The sequence below is a fragment of the Homo sapiens genome, chromosome 1 (assembly GCF_000001405.40).
Source record: "Homo sapiens chromosome 1, GRCh38.p14 Primary Assembly".
In the NCBI taxonomy this organism is placed as follows: domain Eukaryota; kingdom Metazoa; phylum Chordata; class Mammalia; order Primates; family Hominidae; genus Homo; species Homo sapiens.
In genome coordinates, this window is record NC_000001.11 from 11,726,091 (window position 1) to 11,751,520 (window position 25,430).

At 53.1% G+C, this 25,430-nt stretch overlaps 1 protein-coding gene across 8 annotated transcripts, besides 4 other annotated features; it reads left to right on the forward strand.

Annotated features, from left to right (window-relative positions):
• Window positions 122-1,109: an enhancer, noted in NCBI's record as "H3K4me1 hESC enhancer chr1:11786269-11787256 (GRCh37/hg19 assembly coordinates)". NCBI's record gives its function as "activates a minimal SCP1, AML or CMV promoter by ChIP-STARR-seq in primed H9 embryonic stem cells {active_cell/tissue: H9 hESC(primed)}" and the evidence as "EXISTENCE:reporter gene assay evidence [ECO:0000049][PMID:30033119]".
• Window positions 6,002-6,091: an enhancer, noted in NCBI's record as "active region_172". NCBI's record gives its function as "activates an Ori minimal core promoter by ATAC-STARR-seq in GM12878 lymphoblastoid cells {active_cell/tissue: GM12878}" and the evidence as "EXISTENCE:reporter gene assay evidence [ECO:0000049][PMID:35858748]".
• Window positions 10,046-24,679, forward strand: AGTRAP (angiotensin II receptor associated protein). Of its 8 annotated transcripts, XM_011541802.3 has the most exons (7): window positions 10,046-10,145; window positions 18,443-18,478; window positions 19,713-19,747; window positions 20,037-20,133; window positions 21,350-21,455; window positions 22,325-22,499; window positions 23,987-24,679. In XM_011541802.3, exons 1-7 carry the CDS (start codon window positions 10,119-10,121, stop codon window positions 24,012-24,014), a joined length of 504 nt encoding a protein of 167 aa, XP_011540104.1. In that variant the 5' UTR covers window positions 10,046-10,118; the 3' UTR covers window positions 24,015-24,679. The 8 variants fall into 8 exon arrangements, with proteins under 8 accessions (XP_011540104.1, XP_011540102.1, XP_011540101.2 ...); XM_011541800.4 differs by lacking the exon at window positions 20,037-20,133 and having other exon boundaries at window positions 22,325-22,520; XM_011541799.4 differs by lacking the exon at window positions 20,037-20,133.
• Window positions 22,095-22,771: an enhancer, noted in NCBI's record as "H3K4me1 hESC enhancer chr1:11808242-11808918 (GRCh37/hg19 assembly coordinates)". NCBI's record gives its function as "activates a minimal SCP1, AML or CMV promoter by ChIP-STARR-seq in primed H9 embryonic stem cells {active_cell/tissue: H9 hESC(primed)}" and the evidence as "EXISTENCE:reporter gene assay evidence [ECO:0000049][PMID:30033119]".
• Window positions 22,772-23,448: an enhancer, noted in NCBI's record as "H3K4me1 hESC enhancer chr1:11808919-11809595 (GRCh37/hg19 assembly coordinates)". NCBI's record gives its function as "activates a minimal SCP1, AML or CMV promoter by ChIP-STARR-seq in naive H9 embryonic stem cells {active_cell/tissue: H9 hESC(naive)}" and the evidence as "EXISTENCE:reporter gene assay evidence [ECO:0000049][PMID:30033119]".
• Window positions 24,680-25,430: the final 751 nt, after the last annotated feature.

Consider the following 25,430-nt stretch of genomic DNA (forward strand, 5'->3'; position numbering starts at 1 on the left):
TTTTTGTTGTTTTTTTTTTTTTAGACAGAGTCTTGCTCTGTCACCCATGCTGGAGTAAAGTGGCACGGTCTCGGCTCACTGCAACTTCTGCCCCCCAGGTTCAAGCAATTCTCCTGCCTCAGCCTCCCGAGTAGCTGGGATTACAAACGTGTGCCACCACGCCAGGCTACTTTTTGTATTTTTAGTACAGACGGGATTTCACCATGTTGGCCAGGCTGGTCTCAAACTCCTGACCTCAAGTGATCCACCCACCTCGGCCTCCCAAAGTGCTGGGATTACAGGCATGAGCCACCGCACCTGGCCGGAGTCCCAGATTTTTATCTCCCTACCCATTTTAGGGTTGGGGCAGCTGAGGTCCGAAAGAGATTCTGAGGTGGGTTGCAGCAGGCCGGTCCCCAGCAGCTTCCTTCCGAGCCAAGGTGGCCGAGTGCAGAGAAGAGCAGAAGCGGGACTCCTGCAAGATAAGAAAGGACAAGGCAGCTCAACAGAAGCCAGGGCTGGGGCAGGGTCAGTTGCCATCTTGGGAAAGGGCATGAACTGGTGAGGGGGTGGCCTGGCTTGGCACCAGGAAGGACATCTCTTATCGTGGTGGCAGTTCCAGCCAGTGCCGCCCAGCTCTGCTGACCAGGGCTTCCTCGGGCAGGCTGTTATGTCTCCCAGTGACCTTGATCCTAAAGCCAAGGTGGGGCCCAGACACCCCTGGGGGCCGTGGTGACCACAGAGATGGGGCGCCCTGAGAGCCTGGTGTCCGTATCTGCAGAGACGTCTCTGCCTAGCCAGGACAGGGAAAATCAGGCTTCCCAAATCCAGGGTTTCCTAAAACATGGGTCCTCGGACCCCCAGCATCAGAATCCTGTGGACGGCAAGCCCAGGTTTCTGAGCCCCACCTGGGCCTCTGACTCAGAATTCCAGGCATGGGCTTGGGAATCTGCACAACTGAAACTCAAGTCTGAGAGCTGCTGCACCAAATCTTCTGAGAACTCACAGTCCTCCCCACACAGCCCCAGGTGGCTGGAGGAGCTCCCACGGGGGATGGTTCTGAGGAGCTGAGCCCAGAAGGCCTGTACCCCTCCAAGAGACTTTGCAAGTCATACCCTCTCTGCCCACTACTCAACTCTGCCATCGTCGTATGAAAGCAGCCATGGATCACACAGAAACAGATGCATGCAAATGAGTGAGCACAGCAGCGTTCCAATAAAACTTTATTTACACAAAAGGGTAGCGGGCCAGATTTGGTCCAGGAGCTGTAGCTTGCTGACCCCAGTCTGTACTACTGACCCCTGGGTCAAAGGTTACAGAAAGGCATGCTGGCCATCTAAAAGCCAAACCCCTCTGTCCTGGGATGTCCACTGGATCCCATTTCTACTAATAAAGGTCAGAACAGTGCTGAGATAAGGGGTTAGGGCAGTCAAGCCCAAGGCCACAGGATGTCAGCTCTCAGTGCCAGCAGCCTGGGTGCAGCCCTTGGTGGAGGGCAGATGGCTGCACTGGGGTGGATCAGTCAGGGTTCTCCAGAGAAACAGAAACAATTGGATATTATTTATATATCTTAAAATATCTATGTATTTATATATCTCATGTGTGTGTGTGTGTGTGTGTGTATACACACAGTCATGTACCATATAAACATTTCAGTCAATGACAGACCACACATACAACAGTGGTCTCATAAGATTGTTTTGTTTTGTTTTTGAGACAGAATCTGGCTTTACGTCTAGGTTGCGCACAGTCATGACACTATGTCTAGTGGCACAATCATGGTTCATTGCAGCCTCAAACTCCTGGGCTCAAATGATCCTCCTGCCTCGGCCTCCGAAGTTTTGTATTATTAATGCAATAATAATTATTGTATTATAAATACAGTAATTAGCCTGGTTAATTATTGTATTTTTTGTAGAGACGGGGTCTCGCTATGTTGCCCAGGCTGGTCTCAAACTCCTGGCCTCAGTGATCCTCTGCCTCAGTCTCCCAAAGTGCTGGGATTACAGGCATGAGCCACCATGCCTGTAATGAGCCACCATGCCATAAGATTCTAATACCATACTTTTACTGTACCTTTTCTATGTCTAGATATGTTTAGATACACAAATACTCATCATTGTGTCACAGTTGTCTGCAGTATTCAGTACAGTAACATACTGTGCAAGTCTGTGGCCCAGGAGCAACAGGCTATCTCAGAGAGCCTAGGTGTGTGGGAGGCTTCACCATCTAGGTTTGTGTGAGTACACACTATGATGTTTGCAGTGTGTAATGCTATGATGTTTGCCCATCAATGAAATTGTCTAATGACACATTTCTCAGAATGTATTCCTGCTGTTAAGCAATGCATGACTGTATATAAAGAGATTTATTTTATGGAATTGGCTCCCATGATTGTAGGGGCTGGCAAGTCTGTAATTAGTAGGACAGGCAGGCAAGCCAGAAACTCAGGCAGGAGTTAATGCTGCAGTCTTGAGGCTGAATTTCTTCTCCCAAGACCTCAGTTTTTGTTCTTAAGGCCTTCAACTGATAGGATGAGGCCCACCACATTCTCAGGGGTACCCTCCTTTCCTTCAAGCCAACTGACTGCAGATGCCCTCACACACACCTACATTCTTTTTTGACTGAAACCTTGGATACTAGAACTTGCCCAAGCTGACACACGAAATTGACCATCATGGAGCTTTCTGGAGCTCAGCTCCCCAGCTCAGATCCCGGTGACTGGACGTGCGACAGAGTTGACCGTGGCGGGTCATGAAGCTCTGGGCTTCCTCACTCTGTTTGGCAGCTTGAGCCTCAGTGTAGCGGTGGCCAACCCTGGTCATGAACATGGACACACATGCTGTGGTGGGCCCAGACCAGTGTCTACCCAGTGTTAGGACATGAAATTGCAATTTGGGGTGGGATGGGGTGGGGAGGGATCGGGTGAGGAGCGATATGAATGGATGCCTGACTGGGTCAGCAAATGACAAAACAGAGCTGCCCCTGTCCCTTCATCACACCTCCCCCAACACACGATGGCATATCCTGAAACTCACACGTTTGCACTGGGGAACCACAGTCAGGAGCCTGGGCTCTGTCCCTGCTGGCGATTAGGCACTGCGGCAAGGGCACAATTGGACGGCGCTATATGCTGTGGTCTTGAACTGGCACTGTGCATCCCGACCTTGACCTGTGTCAGCGCCTGGCACAGAGCAGAATACCTGTGTACAGAGGGAACACCTTCCTCCAGACACAGCCCTGGCCTCCATTGACGGCGTGAGGCGCCCCTCCTCTTGCGTAACTGGGAACTGTTAGACCTTCTTTTGCCAAGCATGAAAATGGAAGCACAAAGGAATTAAGGCCACTTGCCCAAAGTGGTGCTGGAGAGGCCTCCCCCAGGTCTGCCTGACTCCAAAACCTGATCATGTCCATGACCCCGTGTTGCCTCTCAAATACCTGAAGTTTACTGAGCACCTACTAGGAGCTGATCACTGATCTCACCCCTACTCCCACCTCACAGGCACTGTGCCACTCATTTAGGACCCATCGAGGCCGCTGTCAGGCAGGGGGCTGCCAGGACCGAAGTTGGATTCACCTTCAGGCCGGCTTCCCAGAGAGGAAGAGGGCTGGATTCCTTCCAGAGAGCCAGTGGAAGCACCCTCCCCTCCCCCACCCACTTCCTCGTTCTTCTCTTCTCTCTCCCTGTGGCCACTGGCCCCCTGCAAGGAAGATGAGACCTCGAAGAGCCTGCAGCAGAGTCAGACGTGAAAGCCACCGCCAGTGAGGCCTGAAAGCAGTGAAAGCAAACACCAAAGATAAACCCCATGGCAGATAGGCGTCTCGGGCCGTCGGGCTCAGTGACCACAACAGGCCTCATGTGTGTATCTGAGCCATCACTCAGATTCAGCCAGAGCCCTCCAACGCCTCCCTTGGAATTCCAGCAGCATCCACGTGGAAAAATGGGAGAACGAAGAGAGGAGGAGGAAGCAGCCTGAAGTTATGACACAACCAGGACAGGCCATGGGAGGCGGGAGGCAAGCAGCACACATTGAAACTCGCTCCGTGCAGGGCCTGGGCCAGGGGCTGGAGTTGATCTCTGAACAAGATGCTCAGAGTTGAGGAAAGCACGTGAGCATGCACATGCACACACACACACGCACCCACACATACATGCACACGCACACACACGCACCCGCACATGCAGACACCCACACCCACACACATGCACACCCATGCACATGCCCATGCACACCTACACACATGCACACACACACACCACCGCACATGCACACCCATGCACATGCCCATGCACACCTACACACATGCACACACACACACACCTGCACATGTGCGTGCACACGCACACAATAAAATAAGAGGATTGCTGCTGTATGCAGCAGGGGTTGAAGGAAATACCATAGGTCAGAATTTGAGAGTAGCTGAAGTGCCTCTCCTTCCTCTTGGGCAATAGCCTCTTACTTCCGCTTGTGTTCTGGGTGGTTTCTAACACAGCCACAGCTTCCTGGACTCCAACAGGGCACAGGCAATTTCCTTTTCTGCCTTTTCTACAATCACCAAAGGTTCCATAGGGCATTCTGATGGGTTCTCTGAGCACAAGGGTCTCTGGAGGGACAGGGCACTATTGCCACATGTCTGGGAAGGCCTGGCGGGGATCATTCTTAACCGGCAGTAATTTTCATAGGACCCTGATGAGGTGGCAGAGCAGCCGGAACATCAGGCATGATTTCCTGTGTTTTAAAGCTCAAGGAGTATTTATGGAGGCTGGCTGGAGTCCATAAGTGTCAGCAAGGGATGCCGCTGTAAGATTGAATTCTGTGCCATCGGGACAAATCGTTCAGAGTCAGCCCTCATTAGTTTTAAGTAGTCACAGAAACAAATGTCCCCTCTGGCCGGGCACGGTGGCTCACGCTTGTAATCCCAGCACCTTGGGAGGCCAAGGCAGGTGGATCATGAGGTCAGGAGTTTGAGACCAGCCTGGCCAACACAGTAAAACCCCGTCTCTACTAAAAATACAAAAATTAGCCGGGTGTGGTGGCACATGGCTGTAGTCCCAGCTACTTGGGAGGTTGAGGCAGGAGAATTGCTTGAACCCGGCAGGTGCAGGCTGCAGCGAGCCAAGATCGCCCCACTGCACACTAGCCCGGGCGACAGTGTGAGAGTTCATCTCAAGAAAAAAAAAAAAAGCAAAATTAGCTGGGCATGGTGGTGTGAGCCTGTAATACCAGCTACTTGGGAGGCTGAGATGGGAGGATCACTTGAGCCCAGGAGTTGGAGGCTGCAGTGAGCCAAGGTTGCACCACTGTACTCCAGTCTGGGTGACAGAGCACCTAGAGGGCCCTGTCTCAAAAAAAGAAAATAAAATGCATTTAATACACCTAACCTACTGAACATCATAGCTTAGTCTAGCCTACTTTAAACATGCTCAGAACACTTACATTAGCCTACAGTTGTGCAAAATCATGAAAAACAAGCCTATTTCATAATAAAGTGCTGAAAACCCTATGGAATTTATTGAACACTATACTGCAAGTGAAAAACAGAACGGTTATACTGGGGACTGGAAATATGGTTTCTACTGAACGCAGATCGCTTTCGCACTGTTGGAAAGTAGACAAATCATGTCAGACCATTGTAAGTTGGGGAGTGTCTGTACTCACTCAATACATGACCCCAAGCCTTGTGGAATGCCACGTGGGGGTCTATTATGTCCTTCCATAGCCAAGAATAGGTCGTGGCAGGAACTCCGGTTCCTTTGAGGATACCGACAGTTTCACTTTCTTTTGTTTCTCCGTGCTTCCCACCTCCCCGCATCCCCCCAACCCCACCAGCCTGCCAAGCCCGCCCAGCCAGCTGGGTGTTCTCGTGCTCTCCTCCCTCCGCCTCTGGCCCCAGCTGGTGGAGATGAATACAGTGTCAGTGTCTGAGCCACAGGGACGTTCCACAGGCCCAGCCTTGTGCTGCCTTCCGATCCTTGTCTTCTCCTACTTGCTTCACTCTATCCTTCTCATTTCAGCCCTGGCCGGATTTTTCTGCTGTGTGGTTACACGTCAGGGTCCTGGAGCCAGGCTTCCTGGGTCCCACCGCAGTTCCAGCAGCAATTAGTGCTGTGCCTGCAGCAAGCGGCTTCACTTCTGTTGATTTCAGTTGCCTAAGTGTAAACAGGAATAAGAACAGCGCGTGCCATAGTTCTGTTGTGAGCATTTACTATGAAGAACTTTCTTTTTTTTTTTTTTTTTTTTTGAGACAGGGTCTCGCTCCGTCTCTCAGTCTCTCAGGCTAGAGTGCAATGGCAGGATCTCGGCTCACTGCAATCTCTACCTCCTGGGTTCAAGCGATTCTCATGCCTCAGCCTCCCGAGTAGCTGGGATTATAGGCATGTGCCATCATGCCCGGCTAATTTTTGTATTTTTAATAGAGACAGGGTTTCACCATGTTGGCCAGGCCGTTCTCGAACTCCTGACCTCGGGTGTTCCACCCGCCTTGGCCTCCCAAAGTGCTGGGATTATAGATGTGAGCCACCGTGCCTGGCCCACTATGAAGCCCTTTCACACTGTCTGCCACACGACAACTACTGTTGGGGCTCAGAAAATGTCACCCCAATATCTGGTGCTTTGGCATGCTAAGTACTATGAACTACAGAAGACTGGAGGCCTCAAAAGCAAGGTCTCTGTGACGCCCTCCTGACCTCCTGTCTCCAGCCCCTCCTTCTCCCGTGAGGCAGTCACAGAACAAGAATTCCTCCTTTGGCAGGGGATGAGGTGACTCAAGTCTGTAATCCCAGCACTTTGGGAGGCCGAGGCAGGTGGATCGCTTGAGCCCAGGAGTTTGAGACCGGCCTGGGCAACATGGCAAGCCCTGTCTCTATAAAAAAAAATACAAAAATTAGCCAGTCATGGTGGTAGGTGCTTCTAATCCCAGCTATTCAGGAGGCTGAAGTGGGAGGATCACCTGAGCCCAGGAGGTTGAGGCTGCAGTGAGCCATGATCACACCATTGCACTCCAGCCTGGGTAACAGAGCAAGACCTTGTCTCAAGAAAAAAAAAAAAAAAAATCCTCCTTCTCCAAGGTGGGTCACAGAAACTAGAACCCGTGTCTCCAAAGTAGCCATAAAACCTAGAAAGGTGGCTCTCTCCCTTCTCTCTTTAAAGACCTCATTACAGAGGGGTTCTACCTCATACCCAGGAGGAAGGAATGCTGCATGGAGAGCCCAAGAAGAATCTGGACAAGACTTGTTCATTTTCTTTTTATCCAATTGCATTGCTACAGGGCTGTTCATTCTTCCTTGAAACTAAGCACAAAAATGGACAGATTTCCCAGGGCCTTTGAGTCTTCATCTCTGAAGCCTCCCATGTCACATGAAGCTTTGCTTAACTAAACTTGGTATGCTTTTCTCTTGTTAAGCAGTCTTTTTTTACAGGAGTGTCAGCTGTGACCTTTATGATGGGTGAGGAAAGGTATCACACCCTTCCGCCCCTACAGGGTCCTGTAAATGTCAGTTTAGTAAATGTCAGCTCTAATCCTAGGAGTTGTTTTGCGGTTTTTTTGTTTTTTTTTTGACATGGAATCTCACTCTGTTGCCCAGGCTAGAGTGCAGTGGCAGGATCTCGGCTCACTCCAACCTCCACCTCCCAGGTTCAAGCAATTCTCCTGCCTCAGCCTCCCAAGTAGCTGGGACCACAGGTGCACACCCCCATGCCTGGCTAATTTTTGTATTTTTAGTAGAGACGGGGTTTCATCATGTTGGCCAAAATGATCTCGAACTCCTGACCTCAAGTGATCCACCGGCCTCAGCCTCCCAAAGTGTTAGGATTACAGGCTTGAGCCACCGTGCCCGGCCTGTTTTTCATTTTCTCCTTACAAAGTGATCACAACTTTATTATATACCTAAAGGCTTGGATTAAATCCCTCTAGAATCTGGAGTGTATGGGAAATATTTTTTAGAAGGAAATTGATCAGGCTGCGCACTGTGGCTCACGCCTGAAATCCCAGCACTTTGGGAGGCCGAGGCGGGCAGATCACCTGAGGTCAGGAGTTTGAGACCAGCCTGGCCAACGTGGCAAAACCCTATCGCTACTAAAAATACAAAAATCAGCCGGGCATGTTGGCACCCACCTGTAGTCTCAGCCACTCAGGAGGCTGAGGCAGGAGAATCACTTAAACCCGGGAGACGGAGGTTGCAGTGAGCTGAGATCGCGCCACTGCACTCCAGCCTGGGTGACAGAGCCAGACTCCATCTCAAAAAAAAAAAAGATAATAATAACATAATATTCTAATATTGACTGCTTACTGAGAAATTACTCTCTTCTAAGTACTTTACTAATAACAATAATTAATTACCAATAATGAACTAATAATAATAATAGCAACCAGTCCTAAATCAAACTGGATGTAGCCATTTGGCTGGTCTCTAATTTACCCCTAGACTGGGGGGATCTGTGCCTCCTAAGAGGGCATTAAGTTAGGCCTATGGGCCCTGCAGCCCTGCAAAACTCTCCTCATCCATCCAGAGAAACCCTTTCTTTGCATCTGGAGAGACTATGGGTCTTGGTATTATCTAAGGACTCACCCAGGCAGTTTTGTAGGTTCCCACCTGGTTTCCCCCACCCTAGGAATAAGACCAAGTGCTCAGGTGTACCCTGAAGGTTTCCATACCTAGGTGACACTAAACAAAAGCTGGTGTTCTCTAAAGGAAAGTTGATGTTAGGAAGGGACCTGGAGGTAGAGCGGATTAATGTTCTTGTTGCGGTGGGGGGATGTGGTGGTCAACAATCTTTAAGGGAGGTGCCAGGTGAGGCAGGAGACAGCCCTTTCTTTCCTCATGTACAATTGGGGGAGGAATTTCTTATGGTTTTTCAGCTAGAGTTTTCTAAAACTTTTGGTATGCTGATTAAAGTGGGCTCCCACCAATTTGGCTCCTCAGGTGTTGCTTTTTGTTTGTTTGTTTTTCCCAGACAAGGTCTCACCCTGTCGTCCAGGCTGGAGTGTAGTGGCGTGATCTCGGCTCACTGCAGCCTCCCCGGTTCAAGCAATTCTCGTGCCTCAGCCTCCTGAGTAGCTGGGACTGCAGGTGCACACCACCATGCCCTGCTAATTTTGGTATTTTTAGTAGAGACGGGGTTTCACCATGTTGGCCAGGCTGGTCTCGAACTACTGAGTTCAGGTGATCCACCCTCCTTGGCCTCCCAAAGTGCTGGGATAACAGGGGTGAGCCACTGCGCCCAGCCTCATCTTGTGTTGGTAATAACAATAGCTTGTGTGTCCTGCCCATTTACTAAGTGCCGGGCACTGTTCTCTCCTAGAACAAACCGTAGTTAGACTCCTCTGAGTCCTCATCTTGACTAGGCCTCGGCCTTGGACCTCTGTGTCTTCCTGTCCTTGCTGGGCCTGAGCCTGCATAATAAACCAGTTTCAGCAAGAGTCCTGCTAAGTTAGCAAGAACTCCCCCATCCTTGATGTCTCCTCCTAGGAATCTTCCATTCCTGCTCCCTCATTCTGCTCTGGCTATAAATCCCTCCTTGGTCCTTGTTGTATTCGGTGTTGAGCCCAAACTCTCACTCCATGGCAATAACCCTACAGCAAGTCTTGAACAGTACTGGTTTAACAACAGTCCCAATAACGTTTTCTTTAACAACAGCAGTTAGCTCATTTAATCCTCATAAGGATCATATGAGGTAGGTAGCCTAAATAGCCCATTTACACAGGGAAGTGGGAAGGAGAGAGGGTGCCCCCAAGGATGAGACACAAGCTGTTGCCACATCAGCACTTTGCGCCTGGACGGTCCCCCAGTTGTCCTGGCTGCAGGCAGTCCGAACAGTCCGCTTCCTGGAATATTAGCCAGGCAGGATACGCCCTGGGCGACAGAAACTCCAACTTTCGCCAGCGGCCCCCAAGTACTGCCTGGGCGGTGGCGGGAGTCTGGAGCTTGGCTGAAGGCGCGAGCTGCCGACGCCGTCTCCTAGCAACCAAGCGGCGGTCACGTGACCCGCTCCAGCCCGTTTCACGTGGTCTTGAGCTGCGCTGGGGTTGGAGTGGCCGCAACGGGCGGGGCGGGGCGGGGCCGGGCAAGTTTGTTCCCCGAGTTCGGAGCCTAGGAGCCCCCCGCGGCTGCGGCGCAGGTGCCCTCGGCCTGAGTCGGGATGGAGCTGCCTGCTGTGAACCTGAAGGTGGCGACGGGCTGGGGGGAGGGTCCCCTTTGCGGGAGGAAGTGGGACATTTGCATTTTCCCGGAAGGTGGGAGGAAGGACCGGAGTTTTGGGGAAAGAGGGATGGTAGGGAGGAAGGGAAGGTACAGACCCCACGCAAGAAGGAGATGGGCAGGCAGGCCACAGCAGGGAGAGTGATCCAGGCACAGGCCAGCAGGGCGACACTGAGGGGCCGTGGGAGGTGGCAGCGGAGGGCAAGGGCCGCCCCCTCCCGGACTCAGACCCTCCCAGCGGGCAGCGCCGGTCCCAGCATTGCTGTTGCCTGCACGCCCAGAATTCCCCTGGAGGAGGAGGAAGGTGCGCGGGAGGGGCTTGTAGGCGGCTCACCTCCCCCGCGCGGGGTCAGGGACTGGGCTTGCCCCCCGGGTCCCAGCACCGTTTCAGGAGCCTCCTTGTTTGCTAAGTCGGGTTAAGGAAATCAGATGTTCCCAAGCAGTTGGTTTTATAAAGTTTACACATCCAGCGCCCTTATTTCATAATCAAGAAGCGCGAACTCCAACAGAAATTACTTAAAAGCAGAAAACCCCAACTTTGTGCACTGGGGAAAACACTGCAGGGCTTCCTGTGGTGTCTTCATTTCCCGAGCCGTGAGCTCAGTCCGGGTCTGGGTGCCAGCGGCTGTTCTTTTTCTCCCCGCCCAGCCCCGCCGCCCACGTGTCTGGGCTCCATTTGCATTAGAGGGGCTAGGGGCTGTAGTTTTGGTCAGGAAGGTGTGGACCTTGGACCAAACCGGCCATTTTGGGTCTTAGTGCAGCCTCCTTTGAGGCAATATCCAGGAATGTCCTCTTACTCATGAATGACAGAGCATTTAGCTCCCTGTTGGTGTCTGGGACTAAAGGAACCTGAGAAATAGATGGTTACAAAACAATGGCTTAATACACTTTATTATTACACAACATCTGTGCTATGACTTGCTATAGGCATGTTTCCCTTCTTAATCATACTTGCTTCAGCAAACCTTCCTGAAGCTTCCAGTCAAAGGTGGTGGGGAGACATGGCTGGAGCAAGGGAATGGGCTTGGATGGAACGTTCAGCTGGGAAGAAATTTACGTGACAGCAGCCGAGGCTTGTTGGTATCAATATGCACTCTATTCCAGGCAATGTGGGGTTAACACCAACTGCCTTTTCTCTGATGAGGGATTTGCTTAAAATAATTGCTGACAGAGGATCAGGTGAGGGCAGTGGGAGGGACAGAGCTCTAATTTATGGGCTTCTGTGGTGTGCCAGGTTATTTAATCAAGGCAGCCTTATGAGAAAGCTGATATGGTCATCTTTTTACAGATGAGCAAACTTCAGCTTAGACTGGGTAAATTGCCAAGGTCCCACGGGGAGTAAGTGGCAATATCAGGATTTGAACCCATAGGGATCAGACTCCAGGGCCAGGTCCTTTCTGGGGTACCAGCTTAGGGCTGACTTTAACGTTGGCTGTTTCTGTCCTTTGGGAGGGCTTAGTCTCTTTGGGGCTTTTTTTGAGCAACTTTTTGGGCCTGACAGGCTAAGAGCATCCACAGGTATGAGCTATGCTGGCTTTCGGTACCCAGGATGAAAAGGCTGGTCCTCCCCTTGACTTGGCAAACGAGACCCCAGTCTCCAAGGGTGTTAGCCGCTACCAGTCAGAGACAACAAAGTGCTGGAAGGCCCTGAGGGGTCAGGGTTGTCAGGTCGTGTACAGGAGATCCAGGTGAATTTGAATTTCAGATCAACAACGAACAGTTTTTTAGTATGAGTAAGTCTCAGGCAATATGTGGGACATATTAACAAATTATTCATGATCTGATATTGGAAATTAACTGGGTGTTCTGTATTTTTGTTTGCTGGATCTGGCCACCCTGTGGAGGGCAGCTGTTGACTCCTTGCTTATAGGCACTTAGGGGATGTTCTGAGTTCAGAGCCCTTCAGGAGGTGGGGAACTGCTCCCTGTGGCCTGCACTCCCTCCCCACTCCCTCGTTTTGTATATTCCTTGGGCAAGGGCTGAGTGCCTGCTTCTGCCCAGCTCAGCCAGAGTGGGCAGTGGTGCCAGGTGAGAAGAAACAACTGCCCCAGGCCCTTTGCACAAAGGGCAGCTCCTGACCAAGCCCTGTCCATGTCTCTTGAAGCCAGGTCCTGAGCTGCAAGAATGACATTGTGATGAGCTTAGAAAGGACTGGACTAGGGTACAGAGGTCTTGTGGGAAGAAGACCTTGGGAGGAGGATCTGGTGGTCTAGGAGGTAGTCGTGTAGCATTTGGGTTAAAAACTCAGTAATGAGGACTGCTGGGATGGAGGGCTGAATTCCTCACAGGCACTGTGTGGAGCGCTTCCCACACCTCTCCACCTCCCTGTACCACTGGATCCACACAACAACACTGAATCAGGCAGTATTGCCCTTCTTTGCAGAAGAGCCAACAGCTGTTCTGAGAGGTCAGGTGACTTGCCTAAGGTCACTAGGTTCTAAAGTCATGGAGCCAGGATCAGATCCACCTGTTTGCCTCCAGTACCCACGAAGTTAACCGCTGCACAACTCTGCCTCCCATCCTTGGCAGCCCTGACTGGTGTCCCTGGGCCCCGGCCACCCTGGGGGATCTCACTAGCACGTGTAACAGGCCACCAAGTGTTTGCACAGGACTGGTAGGAGTTTATTCCATTTCTGGGAAGTCCTACCCCGCCATGGGTCCTCTAGTGGCAAACAAAGGGTTTAAGTCTTGGTCTGCATGCCCTGCTGGTTTCTCTTCAGCCTTTCCTTCTCCAGGTTAGACTTCCTCATTTCCATCTGCCCTCTACGGCTCTTCGAGATCCTGACGGTGTAGCACAGTGGACAGAGCACAGGCTTTGGGGGCAGGCAGGTCTGCATTCAAGGTCTTGAGTAGGTTTCTGTGTGACCTTGAGTAGGTTTCTGAACTCTCTCAGTATCTATTTCTTCATTGTAAAAAGAAGTTAAATACAGTCCCTACCTCCTAGGATGATGGATCCATGGTCCAGGACGTAGTCTAGAATTAGGGTTACAAATTCAGGCTGGGCCAGGCGTGGTGGCTCACACCTGTAATCCTAGCACTTTGGGAGACCCAGGCAGGTGGATCATTTGAGGTCAGGAGTTCGAGACCAGCCTGGCCAACATGATGTAACCCCACCTCTACTAAAAATACAAAAATTAGCTGGGTGTGGTGGTGCTCGCCTGTAGTCCCAGCTATTCAGGAGGTTGAGGCACCGAGGATCACTTGAACACGGGAGGCAGAGGTTGCAGTGAGCCGAGATCGCACCACTGCACTCCAGCCTGGGCGACAGAGCAAGACTCTGTCTCAAAAAAACAAACAAAAACTCTGGCTGGATAGATTGATTCTGACATTTGTGTCTGGGCTCTGTTGTTTGTAAGCTTTATGAATTGGGCCAATTTACTTAATCTCTCAGAGCCTCAGTTCTACCCCATACAGTTACACGGATGACATGAGTTAGGGGCAGTGCAGTGTAGATGCATGGCAGGCTGGTGCTTGTCAGTAGCAGGAGTTGCTGCTGTCGTTGATGATGCAGGATCCCTGCCCCACATAGGTATTTAACAGTTAGTAAACGGATACTTACAGTGACCGTCCAGATAGATGCTTGTCTCTGGCAGTTGAGGCACCCCCGTGGGACAAATGGGTACTGCCTCCGTTTCGCAGAAAGGAGCCTGAGGCCTTGGCGCCTGGACCAGCACCCAGGTTTCCTGTTCCAGCATAGCATCCTGGGACCCTCTGCTGCCTTGGTCCATTGACCCCTGTCTGGGAAAGAGCTGGGCGGCCTCCCCTGGGCTGAGCACTGTAGTGAGAGTCCAGGGGCTCAGGTCCGTCCTTCCTGCCCAGCTGGGAAAGGTCCTGGCCCTGCCACCCGTTTAGCTCAGGTTCCTTCCCTGCTTCCAGCTCCTCTTTCAGGCCATACCTGAGAATCCTGTGTCTCTTTGGCTACCAGGAAGCTCCCCCAGGGCCAAAAGACAGTGGTTTTGTCCTGACAGTTACTGGCCCCTCTTTCCCTGGGCTGCCAGGAAGTGCAGGGCCCGTTTGGCTCAGTTTCTCCCTGGAGTCTTCCTGCACATTAAGGCCTCTCTGGGTGTCCTCCTGTTACACAGATGAAGAAACTGAGGCAGGGGAGGCTTAGGCTTCTGGACGTTTCTTTTCCCAGGGGCTTAAGAGGAGCAACTGGTGCTAACTTTGTTCATATTTATCAAACCAAAGTGACGTCACGCAGAGGAGACTGTGTGTGTGCTAAGGATCTGCAGTATTTCCAGGTTACGTTGTTTTCTTCCCTAACAGAGATGGCAGAGGTGTGGGCCCAGCTGGGTGCTCACTCTGTATTACAGGCCCTTCCAGCGCTAGGAAAAGCCTTTACCTCATAGGTTGTAAGCATGACCCTTAGGGTATCCTGCGGATCAGAGGCCCCCCTGGGACTCAGCCTTTCATGCTAACTGCCATTCTTTCCGGAATAATCCAGGGCTCTGCAGGGCCCATTTATTAAAGACCTACTCTGTGTACAGTCTAGGCATAGGAGCGAGAGCATTGAAAATGAAGATCATTTCCAAAACAAGCCCAGAGTGGGAAGAGTTAGGTGTCGATTTTGGGGAGGAAAGGGGTGATGGGAGCTACCTTCCCTCTGTCTCTTTCCTCGGTGTCTTCTTTAAAAGCTGGATGTTGGGACCACTGTGGCTGACTCTGCGGTGTGGCCCTGAGCAAGTTCCTTCCTGTCTGTGGTCCAGGGTTTACTATCAGATGGAGGGGACAGTGGTTAGCTCTGAAGATAAAGATCAGAATCGTCCTCATGCCCAGCCCTGCCTGCCCCCAACTTCCTGTCCCTCCCTCCTCCACTCCCCTCACCTTCCACTCCAGCCACACTGGCTTCTGTTCAGTTTCCAGAAAGTTCCACGCCCCCCTTCTGCCACAGAGCCTTTGTGAGTGCCGCCCCTCCTGCTCAAAATGCTCTTCTTCCCCCTCAGCCTCCCCCATCCCTTCCTCAGAGAAGCCCCTGACCACCCCAACCCTCCCAGCCTCCCTGCTGTTCAATCAGGTGCCCTTTCCCTTGCTTTCCTTCAGGATGCTTTCCTTCAATCAGGTGCTTTCCTTCGGGATGAGGGTTCACTGCACCTCCATTCCTAGGGCAGAGTACCTGGTTAGCGAGGTCAGTACTGAGAGCGCAGCTCCGAATCTGCTCTGCACACCTCTGACTCCCCAGGGTGAATGAAAAGCAGGTGCCAGTGATGCTGGGTGACACTAAATGTTTAAGAAACTTAACACCGTTTATCACTTCAAGCCCCTGGGGATTGAAATCCATGGAAGACTACACCTCTCTTGCCTCAGTTTCCCCATCTTTGTAATGGGGAGAGGCCTAATGGCTGGACAGCACAGCCTGGGTTTGAGTCCTGGCTCTGCCACTGGCCTGCTCTGTGACCTTGGGCAAGTTACTTCCTTCTGAGCCTCAGTTTTCTCAGCTGTAAAATGGGGATAATAAGACCTCAGAGGATTGTAAGGATTTAGTGCATTTATATACAGAAAGCACTTAGAATGGCACCTAGCACATAGGAAGCGCTCAATAGTAGACGAAGGTAGGTGAGGTGATGGCGAAGATTCCTTCTAGAGCTAGACTTCTGTAACACACTACTCAGCCTGGTCAGAGTCTCGAGATCTTAAAGTTGGGTGCATCGGTCCTTACAGAATTATTTTCCTAGTCTCTTGGAGCTGAGAAAGGAATTTCTTTTGGGCCACAGAGCCAGGCCCCTTGTGGTTCACTCTGGCCCTGGGCCCTGGAGGTAAAGGTGAAGTATCTCAGCCACCAGCTCTGGATTCCATCTGCCCCCATGTGTGGACCTTTCTCACAAGCCCAAACAGTTCCCAGCTGAAGGCCTGCGCCCCCAGCGGGGAGGTTGGGTGCACTGGTTTTGGAGGCGAGTTTGAAATTTAATTCCAGTTTTGCCACTTGCTACCTGTGGAGTCTTGATCAACATAATTTATCTCTGAGTCTGGTTTTCTCATCTGTGAAATGGGAATAATAGTACCAGAGGCTGCTGTGAGGTCCAGATAAGGTCATGTGAGACGGTTGGCATAGGGCCTGGCACATAGTTGGTGTGTGGTCAAGAGTAACTCTTCTAGAAATGCTTTTTCCTCTGCTGCCAGAGTGAGTTTGTCTGTCTTTCTTTTCTGTCCTTTCTTTCCCTTCTTTCCCTTCCTTCGTTCCTTCCTTCCTTCCTTCCTTCTTTCCTTCCTTTTCTTTCTTTTTCTTTCTTTCTTCCTTCTCTTTCTCTCTTTCTTTCTTTTCTTTCTTTCCTTACTTTCTCTTTCTGGCAGGATCTTGCTCTGTCCCCCAGGCTGTAGTGCAGTGGCATGATCTTGGCTCACTGTACACTTGACCTCACTGGCTCAAGTGATTCTCCCACCTCAGCCTCCCAGGTAGCTGGGGCTATAGATGTACTCCACCATACCTGGCTAATTTTTTGATTTTTTGTAGAGATAGGATCTTACTTTGTTAGCCAGGTTGTTCTCGAACTCCTGGGCTCAAGCAGTCTTCTCCCTCCACCTCCTAAAGTGTTGGGATTACAGGCGTGAGCCACCAGACCTGGCCCACAGTTCTTTTTTGCAGGTGGTGAGGGCTCCTTCTGCCCTTCCACCCAGGCCAGAAACCCCGGCCTTCTTCGCAAACCTTGCCCATGTCTGCGCCAGGACACTGCCTCTGCCCCAGGCATGTGGCATCTCTCCCTTCCAGCCTGACCCCTCAATCCCTTGAGTAAACTTCTAGGGCCCTCATTGACCACCAGGCCCGTTGAAGCTCCCAATTTGGGGCTCCTGGCCTCCCAAAGTCTCTGTGCCACCCCACCCCGACCTCAGTTATCTCCATGCCCACCGCCACCCATGCAGGGCCTGGGGCTTGGCCCCACTTTGCCTGGCCGAGCCCCGCTCATACATTGTGCTCAGCCTGGGTCCCTTCCCTTTGGAAGCTCTTTCTGCAGCTGCCTGCCCTCCCAAGGCATCTGTCTTTTCTTTTCTTTTTTTTTTTTTGAGATGGAGTCTCACTCTGTCACCCAAGCTGGAGTGCTGTGGCCCATTTTGGGCTCACTGCAACCTCTGCCTCCCAGGTTCAAGTAATTTTCGTGCCTCAACTTCCGGAGTAGCTGGGATTACAGGTGCCCACCACCATGCCCAGCTAATTTTTGTCTTTTTAGTAGAGACAGGGTTTCGCCATGTTAGCCAGGCTGGTCTCGAACTCCTGACCTCAAGTGATCCACCTGCCTTGGCCTCCCACAGTGCTGGGATTACAGGGGTGAGCCACCGCGCCCAGCCCATCTGCCCTTTTTCTTTCTTTCCTTTTTTTTTTTTTTGAGGCGGAGGTTTGTTCTTGTTGTCCAGGCTGGAGTACAATGGCGCGATCTCGGCCCACTGCAACCTCTGCCTCCTGGGTTCAAGCGATTCTCCTGCCTCAGCCTTCTGAGTGGCTGGGATTACAGGCATGTGCCACCATGCCCGGCTAATTTTGTATTTTTAGTAGAAACGGGGTTTCTCCATGCTGGTCAGGCTGATCTCGAACTCCCGACCTCAGGTGATCTGCCCACCTCAGCCTCCCAAAGTTCTGGGATTACAGGCGTGAGCCACTGTGCCCAGCCTCCATCTGCCCTTTTTCTATGTGCTTTCCAGTCAGGGCCTTGTTGATGTCCCGGAGTAGAGACCAGTTCCAGGAGAGGAGGCTGTCATTTTAAGGACACAGAGGACATTAAAAAGGGTAAAATATTGTAGCTGGGTGCAGTGGCTCCTGCCTGTAATCCCAGCACTTTGGGAGACCAAGGTGGGTAGATTGCTTGAGCCCAGGAATTTGAGACTAGCCTGGTTAACATAGGGAGACCTTGTCTCTACAAAAAAACAAAAATTAGCTGGGCGTGGTGGTACACACCTGTAGTCCCAGCTACTGGGGAGGCTGAAGCAGGAGGATCACTTAAGCCCAGGAGTTTGAGGCTGCAGTGAGCTGTGATGGCGCCACTGAACTCCAGCCTGACCCACAGAGCAAGACCCTGTCTCCAAATTTAAAAAGAAAAAAGTAGAATATTGCAGAAATCCAGAAAAATAGCCAGGGGGATTTTGTTGTTGTTTTTCCTTACCATAAGGCATACCAAGCTATCTCCCTGTAGAAAAGTCTCAGTGGTGTCCCTCGTTGCACTTGGCATGAAGCCCACGCTCCTTCCCGAGGCCCTCAGGCCCCCCTACCTGTCCCCAGCTACCCTCCCTTTGCCCGCTCTCTCCAGCCACAACAGCTGCTTTCCCCTCTGCCCCCCACAGTGCGCCAGCTCCAGTGTCCCAAGAAATCACCCTCACGTGAGTCCCCACCGCTCCGCTTCCCATCGAGGCCTCTTCTGATTTCAGAGCAGATTCCCTGCATTCCACAAAGGAGCCTCCCACCCTTGTGTTACAGGAAAGGGGTCCCAATCCAGACCCCAAGAGAGGGTTCTTGGATCTCGCACAAGGAAGAATTCAGGGCGAGTCCATAGAGTAAAGTGAAAGCAAGTTTATTAAGAAAGTAAAGGAATAAAAGAATGGCTACTCCATAGGCAGAGCATCCCTGAGGGCTGCTGGTTGCCCTTTTTAAAAAAATTAATTAATTAATTAATTTACTTATTTTTGAGATGGAGTTTCTCTCGTCGCCCAGGCTGGAGTGCAATGGCACAATCTCGGCTCCCTGCAACCTCCACCTCCCAGGTTCAAGCAATTCTCCTGTCTCAGCCTCCTGAGTAGCTGGGATTACAGGCACACACCACCATGCCCGGCTAATTTTTGTATTTTTAGTAGAGACAGGGTTTCACCATGTTGGCCAGGCTGGTCCTGAACTCCTGACCTCAGGTGATCCACCCACCTCGGCCTCCCAAAATGCTGGGATTACAGGTGTGATCCACCGCGCCCAGGCTGGTTGCCCATTTTTATAGTTATTTCTTGATAGTATGCTAACCAAGGGGTGGATTATTCATGCCTCCCCTTTTTAGACAATATAGGGTAACTTTCTGACGTTGCCATGGCATTTGTAAACTGTCATAGTGCTGGTGGGAGTGTAGCAGTGAGGACAACCAGAGGTTACTCTCGTGGCCATCTTGATTTGGGTGGGTTTTAGCCGGCTTCTTTACTGTAACCCGTTTTGTCAGCAAGGTCTTTATGACCTGTACCTTGTGCTGACCTCCTGTCTCATCCTGTGACTTAGAATGCCTTAACCATCTGGGAATGCAGCCCACTAGGTTTCAGCCTTATTTTACCCAGCTCCTATTCAAGATGGAATTGCTCTGGTTCATACGCCTCTGACGCTTGGAAGGGGTGTGGGTGTCAGCTGCCCCATGGGAGGGGTGAAGGCATGAAGCGGCCCCTCCCTGGCCTGGCCTGCTTTCTTCCTCCTCCTTCACTCCTGGGCCACCTGCAGTTGCTGGTGTGCCTTTTCAACAGACATTACTGAGGCCCTCAGAGGTGCCAGGCGCAGGGGCGTCCTGTGTTTTCTGCACCCGACGCTTTCCTGCCCCTGTGGTGGTCATGTTCACAGACCTCTTCTCTCCCCCTTGTTGTGCCACAGGTGATTCTCCTAGGTCACTGGCTGCTGACAACCTGGTAAGTGACTCTGTGGGTATCTTGTGTGTCTCCTGCGGTCTCAGGGTCTGTGTCAGCCGGGTCAGGTCCTGGTTCTGCCGTGTTTTAACCAGGTCACTTTGGGCCAGACAGCTCTGCCTCTCCGGGTCTTGATTTCCGTCTGTACAATAGGCATAAGGATTGCACACCCTGCAGGAGCTGGGAGGGAGACGTGGAAGTGCTCATCAGAGCTCCCCAGGGCCTGCCCCACAGTGAGGCCTCAGCACTGCAGCTTGATTTTCACCTTTACCATCTCTTTTAATCTGTTGAGCTTCTGGAGACATTTCTCTGCCAAACCAAGACTGGAAACCATTGAGCTCACCTGTGCACTTTGCAAACTTCGAAGTGCAGCGCACAGGGCAACAGCTGTGAGTAATGTGAACTGTAACCATCATGATTCACGACCTTGAGAAGCAGGGCCAAAATACAGATTTCTTAGTCACACTTCCCCAAGATTCTGAGTTGGTGATTCTGGGCTGGGACCCAGGCACCTGCTTTCTTAAAAGCAAAAGATAAGATGGTTTATTCAAAGACCTATTGAACCGAATGGCACTCCACACCTGCCTTGCACATGTCTTCTGCATGTTACACTTTAGTGAATGTCCTATAAATCTAGGAAGCGCCCGCTGCATGCAGGGGAAGGCAAGGCCCAGTGGGTTTGGTAATAAATGAGGTAGACTCAGTCCCTGTCCCCCTGAGTCTTCCTTGCAGCACAGCAGGGTGAGCAAGAGCATGGCCTCTCCAGCCAGACTCCAAATCCCAGCCCCACTGCTCAGCAACTGTGTGACCTTGGGCGAGTTACTTAACCTCATTGTGTCTCAGTTTCCTCATCTCTAAAGTGAGGGTAACAATAATACTTCCTTCCTATGGTTATTAACATAAATGTACATGAATGAGTTAATTTAAAACAGAACCATGCTAGGTACTAGCAAGTGATCGGTGTTCACTATGATTTTGATTGGATTGACAAGTAAGTCAACAATGTCAGTATCAGTACCCTAAAAATAGAATAGGGCGGGCCTTGTGTTAGGAAAGTGACGAACTTGTACTTAGCACCGGTGGGCAAGGGAAGGAGTCTCAGGGTGAACATTCGAGTCTCAGGGTGAATGACAAAAGGAGGGCCAGGTGTCAGGGTAGAGGGCGCCCGCCGCACAGGGCAGTGGCTGGGAGGTCAGTAGGGCGAGGCTGTGTCCGGGATCCCACAGGCCCCTTAGGCCCTGGTGAAGAGTCTGCATTTTATTCCAAATGGGACAGAAAACTGTTGGAGGATTTTTAGCAGAGGAGTGACAGCATCTGACTACGTTACCGGTTGCTGTTTAGAGAACAGAGTGGCAGTCAGGACGCTGGCACAGGGTGGCTGCGGCTGTCATCTGCCAGGAGAGGGAGGTGCTTTGGATCTACAGGGACACAGCCAGATCCAGGGTCTGGGTGGGAGGCGGAGCCCATGGGATTTGCTGGCACACAGCCGGGTGGCCTCGAAGACTATGGCATGTTCTGGGAGGAGGCCCTGAGACGCCGGAGCAGGAGGGAGGTGACCTGCGGGGTGGTGGCCTCCTGACGGGACTGAGCTACCTCTTCCTACAGGGGCTGCATTGTATTCTCAGGCTCCTATGCCTGGGCCAACTTCACCATCCTGGCCTTGGGCGTGTGGGCTGTGGCTCAGCGGGACTCCATCGACGCCATAAGCATGGTGAGCCAGGGTGGGGGAGAGGCGGCAAGGCGGGGAGCCGCAGCACAGGGCAAGACATAGCCTGGCTCTGCTACCCCGTCCCATCCCAATCTTCCCCCTCTTCCTTGGGCCACCACTTCCCATTGTCTAAAGCCTGTTCATCAGCCTCCTGGGCTCCGGCCCATGCCTGTGTTCAGGAGCCCAGCCTGCTGCTCTTCTTGTCTGGCTTAGAGAACCCCAAGTCTGCCATTATCTCCCTGAGGAAAGCCATGGGGTGGGTCCCACCAGTGCCTCGGATTAGCCACTTCGCAAGAGCAGTGGAACATCCCCTGTAACCTCCCTCTGCGGCTCTCTTTTAGGGGAGGGGATATGGCTGGGAGACCCGGCCAAGAGGGCATTTCACTACTTTAGGAAGTAGAGGTGACCCTGCCCCACCGAAACCTCCCACAGGGGGAGCTTCTCAGCACCCACGGAGCCCCGTGGGGCAGTGAGCACTCCCGCACGGGCTCTTCAAGCCGAGGCCAGGGCCTCAGGATGACTGAGAAGAGATTTTCTTTGTGTTGGAGAAGGACTGGGTGAACTCCAAGGAACCTTCCTCTATGGAGGTTCTAGAGCCAAGTCTTGTGCCCATCATGGCCTTGGAGATGACGGGAAATGGGTGGGGAGGGAGGCTCTGGTGGAACCGAGACCTGGGCCCCCGGCATCCCTGCCCCCAGACTGCAGTCTCAGCCAGCGGCTCCCCAGCGGGGCCCTGCCTGCTTGCTTGATCCATTTTCCCGCAAGCCCCAAGGACACAGCAGGGCATGAAACGGCTTCCCATCCGGTGTGTGGCGGGGGAGCCACGGAGCGTGGTGGGGGTGTTGTGCTCATCAGTGTGGTGTGTCTTGCAGTTTCTGGGTGGCTTGCTGGCCACCATCTTCCTGGACATCGTGCACATCAGCATCTTCTACCCGCGGGTCAGCCTCACGGACACGGGCCGCTTTGGCGTGGGCATGGCCATCCTCAGCTTGCTGCTCAAGCCGCTCTCCTGCTGCTTCGTCTACCACATGTACCGGGAGCGCGGGGGTGAGCTCCTGGTCCACACTGGTGAGGCCACCACCTCCAGCCAGCTCCTCACCGCTCCCTTCTCTCCCTTGCCTGGCCTCCAGCCTCTCCCTCAGTGAGCCAGCCTTGCCCCATGGGGCCAGGGCTCAAGGTGCAGGGAGAGCGTGGCATGGGCGCTCTGTACTAGGCTGGACAGGTCCAAGCTCCTAGTCTCTGCTGCAGGAGCCCAGGGGTCCCCTGGTTGTCCTGGTCTGCCGTGACCTTCTTCTGCTGTGAAGCTGAGGCTGGGCCCTTCTCTCAGCCCAGAACACAGGCACAGCTGGGGGTACCATTTAGTTCCCAGGGGCAGCCCTGGGCTGTCTCCATCCTGAGGGCCACGGGCACCTACAGGTCTCCTCTCTGTTCTCACCGGGGCCCATCACTGGAACCCCATTTCCTGCCACATGGGGTCTTCCCTCTCCTGCTGCAGAGACTGCTAGGTGGCCAGGGCAGAGCCCGTGCCAGTGTAGGCTGTGGGAGCCTCAGTGAAGACAGCCCTGAACAGGGGGCACTTTCCCTGCCCACCGGCCCCTCCCCACTCACCCAGCCTTACACCTGCCCTCTCCCACGCCCTCTCTGAACTCCTGTACTCCTTCTCCTGGTGGCCGAGCCATTTGCCTGCTCTCTGACACCTCTCTCTCTCTTCCTTTCTCTCTCTCTTTGAGAGGAGTGGAGGGAGGTGGTAGGGTGTGGCCTTCTGCCTTTCACTCCTGAGATGAGATGCCCCACGTGGCCTGTGACTGCCACCAGCTGGTTGAGGGTGGGAATGGCCTGGGGCTGCCCACAGTGGCTGACCTCAGCACTGCCTGGGCCTGCCCCCAGGTGAGGGGTGCCAGAATGTTTCTCCCATTGGACAGATGAGGAAACTGAGGCCCACATCCTTTGGGACTTGTTCAGGGTCCCGGGATGAATGTACAGAGTAGGGGATGGGAGTGAGGCATGTGGCGTACTCGGAGCCCTACGGCCCTGCCTTGGACCCAGCCCCAGCCTCCGAGGCCATCTGGATATGGTAATGTGGTGTCCTTGTACCTGGGAGGGGAGCTGGAGAGGAGTGCGTGGGCCCGGGGCTGATGTCCCTCTGCCCAGGTTCCTAAGCACGTGCTGCCTGGGGAAGCCCATGGCACAGGGGCCAGGAGCCTGGCTTTGGACTCGGCTGCCTAGGCGTGGGTCCCAGCATCATCAGCTTTGAGCTGTGTGATCTCGGGCAAGTCACTTCATCCCTTTGACCCACAGTCTCCTCATCTGTAAAGTGGGGACAATAAAAATACCCGTCGCACAGGGATACGGCAGGATTGAATGAATAATACACGCTAAAGGTTTAGGGCCTGGGGCTGCTGCCTCTGTCTCTGTGCATGGTGTCAGGATGCCCAGCCCGAGGGTGGCGGGGGTGGATCTTGGGTTGGACTCAGCTGAACATCCCGAGTTCTCACCCTTCATTTTTCTTTCCCACCATGTCCCCTGTCACCTAGGTTTCCTTGGGTCTTCTCAGGACCGTAGTGCCTACCAGACGATTGACTCAGCAGAGGCGCCCGCAGATCCCTTTGCAGTCCCAGAGGGCAGGAGTCAAGATGCCCGAGGGTACTGAAGCCAGCCACGCTGCGCCCGGCCCTGCCCCGGGCCTTCCTCGTGCCTGGGAGGTCGTTCTAGGGATGCTCCTGACCTCCGTCTCTTGGACCTAAGATGGAATGTGTCCCCAGCTCAGGGATTGCCTGAACCAAGAGGCCAGGAGCCCCCATGGGCCGCCCAGTACCATGCACACTCCTGTCCCGAACTCCCTGAGGCCTCCCCTCCCTTCAGGGCACCCACTGGTTCCCAGGCTGGAACCAGGGTCTCTCTTTACCTCCTACCCCATGGTGGCACCACAGAGGCCCTCAGCCGAGTCCTGCCTGAGTGTTGCAAGCTCAGGCCTTTAAGGACTGCTGATGCCCCCTCAGGCCTCCCCCAAGTTTGCTGGGCTTTGGTGGAAGCCCTGAGAGCTTCAGGTCCTGCTCAGCCCGAGGAGCAGTCTGGCATGGGAGTGAGGCCCCGTCCTTCTCACTGCCTGGTCACATGGTGCCTAGGGATGCAGGGCTGGAGGCCAGAGGTGTCAGCAACACTGTGTCCCACCACAACCTCCAGCCTCCCTTTTCAGAGCACAGCATTAAAGTTTGGGGAATTCTGTAGATGGGCTGTGTTTTGAACCACCTTCAATCTCCTGGCTGGGCTGGGGCCTGGCCTTGTTCCTGGGAAGATGTCTCCTGCCAGTTCCCAGGTGGAGCCTGTGCTGTGCTGCCCCATTCTGTCATGGCAGGAGGAAACAGGCATGTGCGTTGGCTGAGCTGGGCTTGAGCCTGGCTCTGGCCTAGCAGAGGCCACAGGAGAGAGAGACACTGGTGGGTGTGGTGCGTGGGCATCCGTTTCTCTGAACCAGATGACCCAGGCACTCTTTGGAATCCTGCTCTGCCACTTACTAGCTGCATGCCTTCAGTGTCTTCTAGAAAGGGTTGGTGCCTGCTCCAGGTGTGAAGTGCCTGGCGTGAGGAGGGCTCCCTAAGTGATGGTGAACTTGTTAGCAGTGGACCTGCTCCTCAGGCCAGTGACGATGCTAGGTTAGGAGGCAGGGGCGACCTCTTCCTGGTAGCCCCTGTGTCTGGTCACAGCTGACTTGGGCTGACACGTCCAGAAGTTCCCCAGGGCCTCGGCCCACCCCACGGACAGGTCTAGCTATTCACAGCTTGCTCTTCTGCCCCCTGGGCACCAAGTGCCAGGGCTTTCCCAGGCCATCCTGGCTTGTCCCTGGCACAGGGTCAAGGCCTAGTGCACAACTCCCATTATTCTCTTGCGTCCATCTGTCAATCAAAAGAGGCTCAGTACCTGCCTGGTGCCGAGCGGGCTTGGGGCTGCAGTGGTGACCTTGGGAGCCTGCTCTCAACC

What these genes read in the sequence shown, in the direction of transcription:
- AGTRAP (XM_011541800.4), top strand. Translation starts at nt 10,119, where the DNA reads ATGGAGCTGCCTGCTGTGAACCTGAAG. An exon ending in TCCCAAGAAATCACCCTCAC is followed by an intron (nt 18,479 to 19,712) that starts GTGAGTCCCCAC and finishes GTTGTGCCACAG; the next exon opens with GTGATTCTCCTAGGTCACTG. An exon ending in TGAGCTCCTGGTCCACACTG is followed by an intron (nt 22,521 to 23,986) that starts GTGAGGCCACCA and finishes CCTGTCACCTAG; the next exon opens with GTTTCCTTGGGTCTTCTCAG.